The following is an 18,029-nucleotide window of genomic DNA, read 5'->3' on the forward strand; positions in this document are numbered from 1 at the left end:
GCCTCAGCCTCCTGAATAGCTGGGACTACAGGTTTGTGCCACCACATCTGGCTAATTTTTGTATGTTTAATAGAGACAGGGTTTCACCATGTTGGTCAGGCTGGTCTTGAACTCCTGACCTCAAATGATCTGCCCACCTCCTGACCTCAAATGATCCGCCCACCTCAGCCTCCCAAAGTGTTGGAATTACAGGCATGAGCCACTGCGCCTGGCTGAATCTGAACATTTTTTAAAAGAAGACATAAAGTCCTTGCCCATGCCTATGTCCTGAATGGTAATGCCTAGGTTTTCTTCAAGGGTTTTTATGGTTTTTGGTCTAACGTTTAAGTCATTAATCCATCTTGAATTGATTTTTGTATAAGGTGTAAGGAAGGGATCCAGTTTCAGCTTTCTACATATGGCTAGCCAGTTTTCCCAGCACCATTTATTAAATAGGGAATCCTTTCCCCATTGCTTGTTTTTCTCAGGTTTGTCAAAGATCAGATAGTTGTAGATATGCGGCATTATTTCTGAGGGCTCTGTTCTGTTCCATTGATCTATATCTCTGTAGTGTGATGCCTCCAGCTTTGTTCTTTTGGCTTAGGATTGACTTGGCAATGCGGGCTCTTTTTTGTTTCCATATGAACTTTAAAGTACTATTTTCCAATTCTGTGAAGAAAGTCATTGTTAGCTTGGTGGGGATGGCATTGAATCTGTAAATTACCTTGGGCAGTATGGCCATCTTCACGATATTGATTCTTCCTACCGATGAGCGTGGAATGTTCTTCCATTTGTTTGTATCCTCTTTTATTTCATTGAGCAGCAGTTTGTAGTTCTCCTTGAAGAGGTCCTTCACATCCCTTGTAAGTTGGATTCCTAGGTATTTTATTCTCTTTGAAGCAATTGTGCATGGGAGTTCACTCATGATTTGGCTCTCTTTTTGTCTGTTGTTGGTGTATAAGAATGCTTGTGATTTTTGTACATTGATTTTGTATCCTGAGACTTTGCTGAAGTTGCTTATCAGCTTAAGGAGATTTTGGGCTGAGACAATGGGGTTTTCTAGATATACGATCATGTCATCTGCAAACACCAAAAGCAATGGCAACAAAAGCCAAATTGACAAATGGGATCTAATTAAACTAAAGAGCTTCTGCACAGCAAAAGAAACTACCATCAGAATGAACAGGCAACCTACAAAATGGGAGAAAATTTTTGCAACCTACTCATCTAACAAAGGGCTAATATCCAGAATCTACAATGAACTCAAACAAATTTACAAGAAAAAAACAAACAACCCCATCAAAAAGTGGGCGAAGGACATGAACAGACACTTCTCAAAAGAAGACATTTATGCAGCCAAAAAACACATGAAAAAATGCTCATCATCACTGGCCATCAGAGAAATGCAAATCAAAACCACAATGAGATACCATCTCACACCAGTTAGAATGGCAATCATTAAAAAGTCAGGAAACAACAGGTGCTGGAGAGGATGTGGAGAAATAGGAACACTTTTACACTGTTGGTGGGACTGTAAACTAGTTCAACCATTGTGGAAGTCAGTGTGGCGATTCCTCAGGGATCTAGAACTAGAAATACCATTTGACCCAGCCATCCCATTACTGGGTATATACCCAAAGGACTATAAATCATGCTGCTATAAAGACACATGCACACGTATGTTTATTGCGGCACTATTCACAATAGCAAAGACTTGGAACCAACCCAAATGTCCAACAATGATAGACTGGATTAAGAAAATGTGGCACATATACACCATGGAATACTACGCAGCCATAAAAAATGATGAGTTCATGTCTTTGTAGGGACATGGATGAAATTGGAAATCATCATTCTCAGTAAACTATCGCAAGAACAAAAAACCAAACACCGCATATTCTCACTCATAGGTGGGAATTGAATAATGAGAACACATGGACACGGGAAGGGGAACATCACACTCTGGGGACTGTTGTGGGGTGTGGGGGGGAGGGATGGCGATGGGAGATATACCTAATGCTAGACGACGAGTTGGTGGGGGCAGCGCACCAGCATGGCACATGTGTACATATGTAACTAACCTGCACATTGTGCACATGTACCCTAAAAAAGTATAATAATAATAAATAAATAAATAAGACATAAAAGGCAAATAGGGACATGAAAAAATATTCAACCTCATTAATCATCAGAGAGATGCTAATTTAAACCACAATTAGATGGCACTTCATATCTGTTAGAATGGCTATTACCAAAAAAAAGAAAGATAAGTGTTTACAATAATGATTTTATAAAATGTTGATGAAAATGTAAATCAGTACAGCTATTATGAAAAACAATATGGGAGTTCATTAAACAATTGAAAATAGAATAACCATATGGTTCAGCAACCCCACTAATAGTTACATATTCAAAGGAAATAAAATCAGTATGTCAAAGAGATATCCACACTTTCATGTTTATTGCAGCATTAATTAACAGTAATCAAGATATGTAATCAATCCTAAGGGACCACATAGTTGAGATATCAAAAAGAAACTAATCCCCAGAAAGAAAGAAAAAAAAGAAGCAGACGTACAGGAATAAGGTTCATAACTAAGGGAAGTGAGGTGGGAGAGAAAGAGAAAATTTAAATGGTTGCTTTGGTTTCTGCTCACTTTCTAGTTTCAGTTTAAGTCTTCATGAGATTCAGCTATGCCTCTTGTTCTTGGATGCCATGACATACCCCTGTATACATCCAGACTTTTCCTTTGTACCTAAGCTAATGGATTTTTTTTTTTTTTTTGAGAAGGAGTCTCACTCTTGCCCAGGCTGGAGTGCAGTGGCACGATCTTGGCTCACTGCAACCTCCACCTCCCAGTTTCAAGCAATTCTCCTGCCTCAGCCTCCCAAGTAGCTGGAATTAAAAGCATGCACCACGAGGCCTGGCTAATTTATGTATTTTTAGTTGAGGCGAGGTTTCATCATGTTGGCCAGGCTGGTCTCAAACTCCTGACCTTAGGTGATCTGCCTGCCTCCGTCTCCCAAAGTGCCGGAATTATAGGTTTGAGCCAGCACACCCGGCCAAAACTTTTATTACTTATAATTCAACTGTCTTTGAGTGAGACATCTGGCCTATAGCGCCTAATTACCAATTTATTTTTATGAAAAAGGAAGTTCATGTTCCAATTTACCTAACAACACTAAATGTTCTTAAACTAAAGCCACCTACACTTGAGAGAAAGAAATTATGGTTTCAAAAATGTCTTCACCAAAAATGTATTTGTGGCAATTAAAACTATATTAATAGCCTTCTTTTCCATTTTATTAGAAATGGCATGGAATAAAATAATTTACCAACTTAAAATTTTCTCATTAATCAAGGCCAGCATTAGTCAACATTTGCTTATTTATAAAAGTGAAGACAATTTTCTAGTGCATTAATAGCATTAGACAGTACAAGACTCTTCTCAAAAGTAAATAGCTTGGGTTTGTCACAAATTAAACTTTGTGCATGAAAATTTAAATTATAAATAAAATAAATAAATTTTTATAAAATGATCTTAAGGGTTATTTAAATGGAAAATTATCTAAGTTCTCTTGAAAAAACACTACAGACTATACTTTTGTAAAGGCTATATTCCAATCTACATGGTAAAAAGTTACTTTTTGAAAAACAGCAAGTATCCTCCAAAAACTAAACTCTTGAGATTAAACCCCCAAATTAATTGGGCACCTAAAAATTAGTGCAAATTATATCCAACTTCAGTACTGACTTCTTTTTTGGCTTCTTTAAATGTTGCTTCTTTCTCCTTGACTCGCTGCATAAATCTCTGTTTCAACTCTTCTTCTTGCCTCTGACATTGATCATAGAACTCTTGTCTTTTGGCTTCAGAGATTTCTTGAAAACTAAAGAGAAATGTTTTCTTAGTCTTATATTAAAATGAGGTAGGAGAATCGCTTGAACCTGGGATGAGGAGGTTGCAGTGAGCCAAAATTGTGCCACTGCACTCCAGCCTGGGAGACTGAGCAAGACTCCATCTCAAAAAAAAAATAATGCTAGTATAAACATGTAAAAAATATGTATTGTATGTAACGTCCTATATAAGGAAATCTGCCAACATTCTCTCATGTTTAGCAGCACAAAATGGAAATTTCCATATCATAAGATGTAAAAACCAAGGCATAATACTTAAGATCAGAGTATATAGAGAGTATATGTAAAGAATACTAGAATTTTCCAACACTTGTATGAGTGAATTCTTATCCCCACCACTTTCCAGCATATCATACTTCTTCACATCTTTTGACAATAAAATTCAGGGAAACCTCTAATGTATGGGACAATTTTCAAAAATAGTCTAAAATAAAGCAAAGAGTCTTTCAAAATATTATTCATTTAAGATAGTCAAATTTTTAGTGTCTGCAGAGAACAACAAATGATATAACTGGATTATATACACTACAGTGCCATATTTTTGCAGCACGAGTCCTACTTGTGTTTTTTTTTTTTTGAGGCAGAGTCTTGCTTTGTTGCCCAGGCTGGAGTGCAGTGGCATGATCTTGGCTCACTGCAACCTCCGCTGACCAGGTTCAAGTGATTCTCCTGCCTCAGCCTCCAAAGTAACTGGGATTACAGGCGCCCGCCACCATGCCCGGATAATTTTTTTTGTATTTTTAGTAGGGACAGGGTTTTACCATGTTGGCCAGGCTGATCTTAAACTCCTGACCTCAGGTGATCTGCCTGCCTCGGCCTCCCAAAGTGCTGGGATTACAGGCAGGAGCCACCGCACCCAGCTGTATTCTTCTTCAAGTTAGAGAAGTACACCTGCTCTCAAACTTTTCTCATTTAACTTCCAGGACACTGCACTACAGCTTTTCAGCTGGTTCCTCCATCAAACTCTTCTTAATATCTTTTGTCAAACTTTACTAATATTTTTCTACCTTTTTCTTTATCTTTTTTTTATTTTGAGATGAAGTCTAGCTCTGTCACCCAAGCTGGAGTGCAGTGATGCAATCTCGGCTCACTGCAAACTCCACCTCCTGGGTTCAAGTGATTCTCCAGCCTCAGACTCCCGAGTAGCTGGGATTACAGGCGCACACCACCATGCCCAGCTAATTTTTGTATTTTTAGTAGAGACGGGGTTTCACCATGTTAGCTAAGCTGGTCTTGAACTCCTGACCTCAGATGATCCGCACGCCTCGGCCTCCCAAATTGTTGGGGTTACAGGCATGAGCCACTGTGCCCAGCCTATCCTGTCTTTCATATAATAAATATACCTTTCATATAAATACAAAAAATAGAATACTAGGTTTTTTCTTTGATACACATTTCAGCTTATATACATATTGTATACACATATTTCAGCATAAAAATGAGATCTCACATTGTGTTTTTCCTACTAACTATCTCTATCTTCATCAAAAGATGATAAAAACACCTAACATTCAAGATGTTTTCTTTAGGATGGTTCAAGATGGGAGAAGTATAATTATTCTCATGCCCAAATTATTGTACCTTGTGTTTGTAGGGGACTCCTAAATTATCCATTTGGTTGTGTTAGCAATATTTTACTCACCTAACTGGCTGGTTCCCACATCTGCAAAGCCCATTTTCTGCAGTTTTTGGTACCTATAACATTCATAGTGCTGAGTGTGGGTTTTTTCTTTTAGATTTTCCATATTGGTACAAAGAAGCGTATCTCAGAGCTTAATGAAGTCACAGTGATTTTCATTTTCCACTAGTAAAAAAATAATAATGAATCAACCACACTCATTATCAATCCCTGACAATCATGAATGAATGAAATCATGAAATAATGAATGAATACATGAGTAAAAAACACATTTAAAACAACACACAACTGAACAATTTGATTAATAGCTATAATTCTTTAAACCATGTAAGTGTGGTTGTACTACACATACCAACTATAGGCAGAGATTATTTATAGGTTAGCAAATTTGCTTTAAAGTTATTACCTGAAGAATAAGCAGGAAAGAGTGAAATATTTTATATGTATATATGCTACAGGTTTTGGTTAACAATTGTGTTGTATGTTATAAACTACCTCTGGGTATTTTGGAGTGCTAACAGAATATGTAATATAACATCACTAGTGTAAATAATTTTATCAAAGTAAATTCTGCTAGCAAAAAGGCCTTACAATTATACATACTTTAGTTGGAAAGATATTCCATGCAATTAGAAACTAAAAGAGGGAGCACAGAGAGCTATATTCCCATCACAGAAGATAGACTTTAAGTCGAAAACTGTAAAGTGATATGAAGAAGGTCATATAATGATGAAGAGGTCAGTTCATTAAAAAAAATTGTAAATATATATGGACCCAATATCAGAGCTTCTAAATATATAAGGCAAATATTAACAGACCTGAGGGGGAGATAGACTATATTACAATAATAGTAAGAAACTTACATACCCTACTTTCAGAACTGGATAGATTATCCAGCCAGAAAATCAGTAAAAAAAAAATGTGAGATTTAAACTACACTTTAGACCAAACAGACCTAATGGACATATGTGGAATATTTCATCTGACAGCAATGTAATACACATACTTCTCAAACAAACCCAAGACATTCTTCAGGACAGATTATATGTTAGGCCACAAAATAAGTCTTAATATATTTTAAAAGACTGAAATAAAAATGTGAGTGCAGATGTCTTTTGACAGATCAATTTCATTCCACTAGGGTACATACCCAGAAGTGGTACTGCTGGATCATACAGTAATACTATTTTTAGTTTTTGAGGGAACGTTTATATTATTTCCCAAAATGGCTGTACCAACTTAAATTCCCACCAATGATGTTTAAGAATTCCCTTTTCTCTTGGGAATGTATATAAACTGCTGGTGGGAATATAAATTAGTTCAGCCATTATGAAAAGTAGTTTGATAATTTCTTTCTTTCTTTTTTTTTTTTTTTGAGACAGAGTTTCACTCTTGTCACCCAGGCTGGAGTGTAGTGGTACGATCTCAGCTCACTGCAACCTCTGTCCTCCTCTTGGGTTCAAGCGATTCTCCTGCCTCAGCTTCTCGAGTAGCTGGGATTACAGATATCCACCACCACGCCCAGCTAATTTTTGTATTTTTAGTAGAGACGGAGTTTCACCATGTTGACTAGGCTGGTTTCAAACTCCTGATCTCAGGTGACCCGCCCTTTTCAGCCTCCCAAAGTGCTGGGATTACAGGCATGAGCCACCGTGCCCAGCCTGACAATTTCTTAATGAAGTTAAAACAGAACTACCATTTGACCCAGCAATCCCATTACTGGGTTTATACCCAAAGGAATATATATTGTTCTACCATAAAGACATAGGCATGTGTATCACAGCACTATTCACAATAACAAAGACATAGAATCAACCTAAATGCCCATCAGTGGTAGACTGGATAGAGAAAACATACATATACACCATGGAATACTGCACAGCCATAAAAAAAAAGAACAAGATCGTGTCCTTTGCAGCAACATGAATGAAGCTGAAGCCATTATCCTAAGTGATGTAATGCAGGAACAGAAAACCAAATATCACATACTCTCTTTTATAAGTGGGAGATAAATATTGAGAACACATGAACACAAACAGAGGAACAACAGACACTGAGGCCTCCTTGAGGGTGGGAGGAGAGTGAGGATAGAAAAACTACTATGTTTTTCCTTTTTTTTTTTTTTTTTTTTTTTAGTATACGTGCTGCCGAAGCGAGCATTTTTTTTTTGTTTTTGAGATGGAGTCTCGCTCTGTTGCCGAGGCTGGAGTGCAATGGCACAATCTCGGCTCACTGTAAACTTGTAACCTCCGCCTCCCAGGTTCAAGAAATTCTCCTTCCTCAGTCTCTTAAGTAGCTGGGATTACAGGCGCACGCCACCATGCCCGGCTAATTTTTGTATTTTTTAGTAGAGATGGGGTTTTGCCATGTTGGTTAGGCTCAGGTGATCCACACGCCTCGGCCTGCCAAAGTACTGGGATTACAGACTCGAGCCACTGCGTCCAGCCAGTACTATGCTTATTATGTGTGATGAAGTAATCTGTACACCAAACTCCCATGACATGGAATTTGCCTACATAACAAACTTGCACATGTACCCCTGAACATAAATACAAATTTTTTTAAAAAAGAATTCTCTTTTCTCCATATGCTTGCCAGCACTTGTTATCGTTTGTCTTTTTGATAATAGTCATTCTAACAGACATGAGATGATACTTCATCATGTGTTTAATTCACATTTTCCTGATGATTAGAGATGCTATTTTTTTCATATTTCTTTTGGCCATTTGTGTTTCTTCTTTTGAGAAATGCCTATTCAGATCCTTTGCCCATTTTTCCTTGTGTTGTTTTCTTGCTATTGAGTTGTTAGAGTCACAGCAAAAGTATTGTATATTTTGGACATTAACCCCTTATCAGATGTATAATTTGAAAATATTTTTGCCAATCTCTGGGTTATATCTTCATGCTATTAATTGTTTCCTTTTGTTTTGTTGCTGGTGCTTTTGAAGTTCTTTTTTCAATTTTATTTTATTTGAGGCAGAGTCTCGCTCTGTCACCCAGGCTGGAGTTCAGCGGCATGATCTCAGCTCACTGCAACCTCTGCCTCTCAGATTCAAGCGATTCTCCTGCCTCAGCCTCCAGAGTAGCTGGGATTACCGGCACCCACCACCACACCGAGCTAATTTTTGTATTTTTAGTAGACGGGGTTTCACCATGTTGGTCAGGCTGGTCTGAAACTCCTGACCTTAGGTGATCCACCTGCCTCAGCCTCCCAAAGTGCTGAGATTACAGGCGTGAGTCACTGCACCCTGCCAGCTTTTGGAGTTCTATTCAAGAAATAATTGTCATGACCAATGTCATGGAGGTTTTCCCCTATGTTTTGTTCTAATAGCTTTACAATTTTAAGTATTGAGTTTAAGACTTTTATGCATTTTGAGTTGATTTTTGTGCATGCTGTGAGATAAGAGTCCAATTTTATTCTTCTGTGTGTGAATATCCAGTTTTATCAATACTATTTATTGAAGAGACCATACTGTGCCCAGTATATGTTCTTGGCACCTTGGTCAAAAATCAATTGACTATACTTAAGTTTATTTATGGGCGTTCTATCCTGTTATGTTGATTAATGTGTCTGTTTTTATGCCAGTGCCATGCTGTTTGGATTACAATTGCTTTATAATATATCTTGAAATCAAGGAGTACAATACTTTCAGCTGTGCTGTTTTCTGCCAAAATTGTTTTGACTATGCAGGGTTTCTTCTAGTTTTGTATAATTTTAGGATTTTTTTCTACTTCTGTGAAAAATGGCTTAGGAATTTTGATAGGAATGGTATTAAATCTGTAGAGCACTTGTGTAGTATGGACATTTTAACAATATTATTTCTTCTAATCATGAACATGGGGTAACTTTCTATTTATTTGTGTCTTCTCCAATTTTTTTTAAACACAAAACCAGCATGTATTGAAAGCAGGTATCAGCTCTGATTACAACAAATCAGCTTAGAGATACCATTACTCAGAAGAAAAATATATACAAAATATATATGTGTGTGTGTGTGTGTGTATAATATATACAATATACACAAAAATCTCAAAGAAAGGAGAACAAAAGAACTTAAAATAATTAAACTTGAAAGGTACTGTATTACTAAAATGGTCTTGTTGTAAAGTAATAACAAATACCACAATGAGCCCTACTTGAGAAAACCATGTGCCCTCAAGCCTGGGGGTGAGGACTCTAGTTCTCAAATTCTTAGAACACAGCACAGGATTCTCTGGGGCAGAGAGGCTGGCTGCAGCATGAGGGCCTCACTGTTGACTCCATTTAACAAAGTCCATGCCCCAGACACAGGCTAAACACAGGGAATGAGGCCACCAGGCAAATCACACCTGCCCCTGCCCCCATGAGCCCCATAAAAGAGAAGTGGTTTCTGAAATCTACAGACTTGGCAGGGACCACTGGGCCATAGATAGCTTAGAGAGAATTATTTTGTGATCAGTCACATAAAAACCCTAGAATCTAAGCCCTACAATTCCCTTATCCAAATTCCCACTGACTAGGGAGGTAGAAGAGTAAGACGTGGAAGCTGTCACCAAACCAGTATTTGGTCTTCTGTAAACAGGGATAAACATAAAACACTGTTTCAGCCAGGCACAGAGGCTCATGCCTGTAATCCTGGCACTACAGAAGGCCGAGACAGGTGGATCACTTAAGGTCAGAAGTTCAAGAACAGCCTGGCCAACATGGTGAAACATCGTCTCTAGTAAAAATACAAAAATTCACCAGGCGTAGTGGCACGTGCCTGTAATCCCAGCTACTTGGGAGGCTGAAGCAGGAGAATTTCTTGAATCTGGGAGACGGAAGTTGCAGTGAGCCAAGATCATGCCATTGCACTCCAGCCTGGGTGACACAGCAAGACTCTATTTCAAAAAAAAACCCAAAGAACAAAAAAACAAACACTGTTTCACAAGTGGGCTTCAAAGAACTACTGGACACAGCAGGTGAAAGATCCCAAAGTCCCATTGAGCACCTCCCACAGGAGGAGGAGGAGGAAAAGGAGGGGGAGGGGGAGGAGAGATGAGTGCCAGAGGGGAGATGTGCTTGTTCCCTGCTGAGGTTACTGCTGGGAACAGTGTACTGCTGGGAACTCTGTCTCAAAACAAACAAAAAAAACAAAACAAAAAAAAAAAAAAAAGAAAGAGGAACTGTGTTTTTTGCCATTACTTTTAATGCCATAACTTCTAATAGCAAAAACTGCAACTATTTTTGCACCAACCTAATAGTAAGTATACAGATACACATGGAATGTTATAACAAGCTTATTGTAGTGGGTAAAGCACTCATATCTGTAGTAGAAATACTAAAATGTAAACCTATCAAAAATGATAACTACAACTTTTCAAGACATAGACAGTATAAGATAGAAATAGAAAATTTTTAAACGTTAAAAAAGTGGAGGGATGAAGTTAAAGTGTAAAGTTTTTATTAGTTTTTTGCTCATTCATTAGTTTCTTTGTTCATTTATGCAATCAGTGATAAGTTGTCATCAGTTTAAAATAATGGGTTATAAGGTGCTATATGCAAGCCTCACGGTAATCTCAAAAAAAAATACAATAGATACACAAAAAATAGAAAGCAAGAAATTAAAGTATACCATCAGAGAAAATCACCTGGACTAAAAGGAAGACAAGAAGGTAGGAAAGAAAGAAGACAAGACCACAAAGTCACCAGAAAACAAATAACAAAATGATAAGAGTAAGTCCTTACTTATCAATAATAACCTTGAATGTGAGTAAATGGACTAAACTCTCCAATCAAGAAACACAGAGTGATTAGCTGGGCATGGTGGTGGGCATCTATAATCCCAGCTACTCGGGAGGCTGAGGCAGGAGAATCGCTTGAACCCTAGAGGTGGAGGTTGCAGTGAGCCGAGATTGTGCCATTGCACTCCAGCCTGGGTGACAGAGCAAGACTCTGTCTCAAAAAAAAACCAAAAACCAAAAAACAACAACAAAAAAAACAAGACCCAATGATCCGTTGCCTACAAGAACACACTTAAAAAGACACAAATAGACTGAAAATAAAGGGATGGGAAAAGATAATTCCATGCAAATGGAAACAAAAACAGAACACGAAAATGTATACTTATATAAGATAAAATACATTTCAAGACAAAAACTGTAAAAACAGACAAGGAAGGTTCATTACTTATGAATAAAGGGATCAATTCAGCAAGAGGCCATAACAACTATAAATATGTACGTACCCAACATTGGAGCACTTAGATATATAAAGGAAATATTATTAGAGCTAAAGAAAAAGAAAGATTCCAATACAATAATAGCTGGAGACTTCAACACTCCACTTTCGGCATTGGACAGATCATCCAGACAGAAAATCAGCAAAAAAATCCTGACTTAATCTGCAGTATGGACCAAATGAACCTAAAAGATAGTTACAGGACATTTCATCCAATGGCTACAGAATGCGCATTCTTCTCCTCTGCATGTAGCATATTCTCAAGGATAGAGCATATGTTAGGCCACAAAACAAGTCTTAAACAATGCAAAATATGAAATCATCAAGTATTATCCCTGACTACAATGGAATAAAAGTGTAGATCAATAACAAGAGGAACTTTGGAAACTACACAAACACATGGAAATTAAGCAATATGTTCCTGAATGACCAGTGGGTCAATGAGGAAATAAAGAAGGTAATTTTAAAATTTATTGAAACAAATGAAAATGGAAATATAACATACCAAAACCTATGGGACACAGCAAAAGCAGTACCAAGAACAAAGTTTATAGCAATAAGTGCCTACATCAAAAAAAGTAGAAAAACATCAAATAAACAATCTAACAATGCATCTTAAAGAACTAGAAAAGCAAGAGCAAACTAAACCCAAAATTAGTATAAGAAATAATAAAAATCAGAGCAGAAAGAAATGAAATTAAAATGAAAAAAATACCAGAGATCAATGAAATGAAAAGTTTATTTTTTGAAAATATAAACAAAATCTGCAAACCTTTAGCCAGACTGAGAAAGAAAAAGAGTAGATCCAAATAAATAAAATCAGAGATGAAAAAGGAGACATAATGGCCAGGTGCAGTGGCTCATGCCTGTAATCCCAGCACTTTGGGAGGCTGAGGCAGGAGGATTGCTTGAGCCAGGAGTTTGAGACCATCCTGGGCAACATAGTGAGACCCCATCTCTAAAAATAAAAAAAGAGAAAGAAAGAAAAAGGAGACATTACAACTGAGGCTGCAGAAATCCAAAGGCTCATTAGAGGCCACTGTGAGCCACTATATGCCAATAAATTTAAAAACATAGAAGAAATTGATGAATTCCTAGACATATACATACTATCAAGATTGAACCATGAAGAAATTGTAAACCTGAAGGACAAGTAACAAGTAATGAGACCAAAATCATAATAAGAAGTCTCCCAGCAAAGACAAGTCCAGGATCTGATGGCTTCACTGCTGAATTTCAGCAAACATTTAAAGAACCAATACTAATTCTACTCAAACTATTCTAAAACATATAGGAGAAGGGAATAAATCAGATCTCATTCAACAAGGCCAGTATTACCCTGATACCAAAACCATAGAAAGACACATCAAAACAAGAAAACTCCAGGCCAATATCTCTGAGGAACATTGATGAAAAACCCCTCAAAAAATACTAGCAAACTGAATTCAACAACACATTAAAAATCCTTCACCACAACTAAGTGGGATTTATCCCAGGGATGCAAAGATGCTTCAGCACACACAAATCAATCAATATGGTACATCATATCAGTATGGTATCATAATGAAGGACAAAAACCATATGATCATTTCAATTGATGCTGAAAGGGCATTTGATAAAATTCAATATCCCTTCATCATAAAAAAATTCAAAAAACTGTGGATAGAAGCAACATACCTCAACATAATAAAAGCCATGTATGGCAGACTCTCAGCTAGTATCATACTGAATGGGAAAAAACTTAAAGCTTTTCCTCTAAGATCTGGAAAATGACAAGGATGCCCACTTTCACCACTGTTATTCAACTGGAAGTCCTAGCTAGAGCAATAAGACCAGAGAAAGATATAAGGGGGTTCCAAATTGGAAAGGAAGAAGTCAAATTATCCTTGTTTGCAGATGATATGATCTCCTATGCAGAAAAACCTAAAGACTCCACCAAAATAAAACTATTAGAACTGATAAACAAAATTAATAAAGTTACAACATACAAAATCAACCTACAAAAATCAGTAGCATTATTATATGCCAACAGTGAAAAATCTGAAAAAAACTAATCCAATTTACAATAGCTATAAATAAAATAAAATACCTAGAAATAAACATGACCAAAGAAATGAAAAATCCCTACAATGAAAACTATAAATACTGATGTAAGAAATTGAAAAGGATGCAAAATAATGAGAACATAGTTCATGTTCATGGATTGGAAGAATCAATAATATTGTTAAAATGTCCATACTACCCAAAGCAATCTATAATAGATTCAATGCAATACCTGTCAAAATATCAGTGACATTCTTCAAAGAAAAAGAAAAAACAATCCTAAGATGTATATGGAACCAAAAAAATACTTAAAGCAATTCTGGGCAAAAATAACAACACTGGAGGAATCGCATTACCTGACTTCAAATTATACTACAAAGCCATTAGTGAAACAGCATGGTACCAGCATAAAAACAGACACACAGACCAATGGAACAGAATAGAGAACCCAGGAATAAATCCATACAGCCACAGAGAACTCATTTTCAACAAAGGTGCCAAGCACATACACTGGGGAAAGGATAAGCTCTTCAATAAATGGTGTTGGGAAAACTGGATATCCATATGCAGAAGAAATAAACTATTATCTTTCACCACATACAAAAATCAAATCAAAATGGATTAAAGACTTAAATGTAAGACCTCAAACTATGAAACTACTATAAAAAACATTGGGGAAACTCTTCAGGATGTTTATTGAGTAATACCCCACAAGCACAGGCAATCAAAGCAAAAATAGACAAATGGGATCATCTCAAATTAAAAACCTTCTGCAAAACAAAGGAAACAATCAACAAAGTGAAGAGACAACCTACACAATGAGAAAATATTTACAAACTATTTATCTGACAAGAGATTAATAACCAGAATATATTTAAGTAACTCAAACAACTCAATAGGAAAAAATCTAATAATCCAATTTAAAATGGGCAAAAGATCTGAATAGACATTTCTCCAAAGAAGACATAAAAATGTCTTCTTTTGTCTTATTGATAATAGCCGTTTTAACATGTGTGAAGTAACTGCTCATTGTGGGTGTTTTAAAATGCCGAACAAGCAAATGAAAAGGTACTCAACATCACTGATTACCAGAGAAAGGCAAATAAAAACTACAATGAGGTATCATCTCACCCCAGTTAAAAAAGCTTTTATCCAAAAGACAGGCAATAACAAATGCTGGTGAAGGTGTGGAGAAAAAGGAATCCTTGTACACTGTTGGCAGGAATGTCAATCAGTACAGTCTTTACGGAAAAAAGTATGGAGTTTCCTCAAAAAAACTAAAAATAGAACTACCATATGATCCAGCAATCCCACTAGTGGGTATATACCCAGAAAAAAGGAAAGTAGTATATTAAAGAGATAGCTCCACTCCCATGTTTGTTACAGCAGTATTCACAATAGCCAAAATTTGAAAGCAACCTAAGTATCCATCACCAGATGAATGAATAAAGTAAATGTGGTACATATACATGATAGAGTACTGTTCAGCCTTAAAAAATAATGAGATCCCGTCATTTGCAACAACATGAATGGAACCGAGGATATTATGTTAAGTGAAATAAGACACGGGAAGACAAATTTCACATGTTCTCACTCATTTGTGGAGCTAAAAATTAAAACAATTGAACCCATGGGGATAAAGAGAGGAATGTTTATTACCAGAAACTAGGAAAGGACTGGGGAGGAAGAGACGTGGGGATGGTTGATGGTACAAGTAAATAGTTACATAGAATGAATAAGATCTAGTATTTGATAGCACAGAAGGTGACTACAGTCAACAATAATTTATTGTACATTTTAGAATAACTAAAAGAGTATACTTGGATTGTTTGTGACACAAAGAAAGGATAAATGCTTGAGTTGATGGGTACTCTATTTACCCTGATGTGATTACTACACACTGAATGCCAGTATCAAATATCTCATGTGCCCTATAAATACTTACACCTACTATGTATCCATAAAAATTAAAAATTAAAAAACAAAGGCCTGGTGTGGTGGCTCATGCCTGTAATCCTAGCAGTTTGGGAGGCTGAGGCAGGCATATCACCTGCGGTCAGGAGTTTGAGACTAGTCTGCCTAACATGCCAAAACCCCATCTCTACTAAAAATACAAAAAAAAAATTACCTGGGTATGGTGGCATGTGCCTGTAATCCCAGCTACTAGGGAGGCTGAGGAAGGAGAATTGCTTGAACCCAGGAGGCAGAGGTTGCAGTGAGCCGAGATCACACTATTGCACTCCAGCTTGGGCAACAAGAGCTAAACTCCATCTCAAAAAAAGAAAAAAATTAAAACACAATAAGCTGTTACTTCACCCATGCTAAAATGACTATTATCAATAAGACAAACAAGTGCTGGTAAGGATGTGGAAAAAAGGGAACCCTTGTACACTGTTGGTGGCAATGTAAATTAGGACAGCCATTATGAAAAACAGTATGGAGCTTCTTCAAAAAATTAAAAATAAAACAACTACCATATGATCCAGCAATCACACTACTGGATATATATACCTCCCCAAAATGAAGTCAGTATGTCAGAGAGATACCTACACTACCATTACTCACAAGAGCCAAGATATGGAAGCAATCTAAGTGTCCATGAATGGATGCATGAAGAAAAAATGTGTGGTATATATATGCAATGGAATACTATTCAGCCTTACAAATCAGGAAATCCTATCATTTGCAGCAACATAGATGGAACTAGAGGACTTTACACTAAGTGAATATGCCAAGCACAGAAAGACAAATAGTAAATGATCTCACTAACATATCAAATTTTTAAAAGTTAAACTTATAGAAACAGAGAGTAGAATGCTGGTTACATGAGTTAGGTAGAGGGTATAGTAGGAGAGATGTTAGTCAAAGGATACAAACTTTTAGTTAGATAAGAACAAGTTAAAGAGATCTATTGCACAACATAGTGACTGTGTTAATAACAATATTTTATACTCTTGAAAATTGCTAAGATAGATGTTAAGCTTTCATCACAAAAATAATTGAGATAACACATGTTAATTATATCAATTTAGCCATTCCACAATGTATATGTATTTCAAAACATCATGTTGTACATGATAAGTACATACAATTTTATTTGTCAATTAAGATTAATTAATGAAAAATAATTTGTATGGCTCTCTCCTGTGTTTATCATGTCCAGAAGATTGATAATATATGGTTTATTGTGATTAATACTATGACCAAATTTTATACATCAACATATAGTACAGATATATATTTTATAACACATACTAATATATAATACAACATAATATATATTAAAACATTAAGTTTATATATTAAAACATTAAGTTAAACAAAAGTTTAACAAATTTTAAAATTTTTAATATGTCATTTTTTGAAAAACATCATTTGGGGCTGGGCATGGTGGCTCATGCCTATAATCCCAGCACTTTTAGAGGCCAAGGCAAGTGGATCACCTGAGGTCGGGAGTTTGAGATCAGCCTAATATGGTGAAACCCTGTCTCTACTAAAAATACAAAAATTAGCCAGGTGTGGTGGCAGGCACATGTAATCCCAGCTACTCAGAAGGCTGAGGCAGGAGAATCACTTGAACCTGGGAGGCGGAGGTTGCGGCGAGCCAAGATCGTGGCACTTGCACTCCAGCCTGGGTGACAAGAGAAAAATCTGTCTCAAAAAACAAACAAAAAAACCAAAAATATCATTTGGAAACCAGTACAAGTAGAAATCTTCCATTCCCCAATAATTAGTACCATAACTATATGAACAAGATAATAAATTACTGCTTACTACACTATTCTAACTCATTATGATGCTAAATAATAATATAAATGTCAAAGGTATAATCTTTAGCCAAAGGTAAATTGTACTTTGTTTTAAAAAGTTTATCACTCTTTTTTCTAGTGACCAGTTTAAAATGGTTTCTACATTAGCTAGCAATGAGTTTATGCAACACATCTACACACTAGTATTTTTGCTTCCATTTTGTTTAAAGTGCTTTCCAGCATTCTCAATGTCATAATTTATACAAAGACAGATAATATGCACGTGGCACATTGGGAGCATTGGGATAAACAAAGAGGTTCTTCCCAGCCTCTGGAGATTTTGGCTTAAAGCAGCGTTCAGCAGACTTCTATGAGAATGAGTCATTGTCACAGTAAGCATTAATTTACATAAAACAGAGTTTGCATTCCTCATTAGTAATTGTTAACTTACAGATTAGCAAGAGTTACCAATATTAGCTCAATTTAAAATGTTACTTTGAGACT

At 36.4% G+C, this 18,029-nt stretch overlaps 1 pseudogene; it reads right to left on the minus strand.

The window, feature by feature from the left end:
- SEPTIN14P1 (septin 14 pseudogene 1) overlaps positions 4,903–18,029 on the minus strand; it is a 29,233-nt pseudogene continuing 16,106 nt past the window's right edge.

Source organism: Homo sapiens, chromosome 7 (assembly GCF_000001405.40).
Source record: "Homo sapiens chromosome 7, GRCh38.p14 Primary Assembly".
Taxonomy (NCBI): domain Eukaryota; kingdom Metazoa; phylum Chordata; class Mammalia; order Primates; family Hominidae; genus Homo; species Homo sapiens.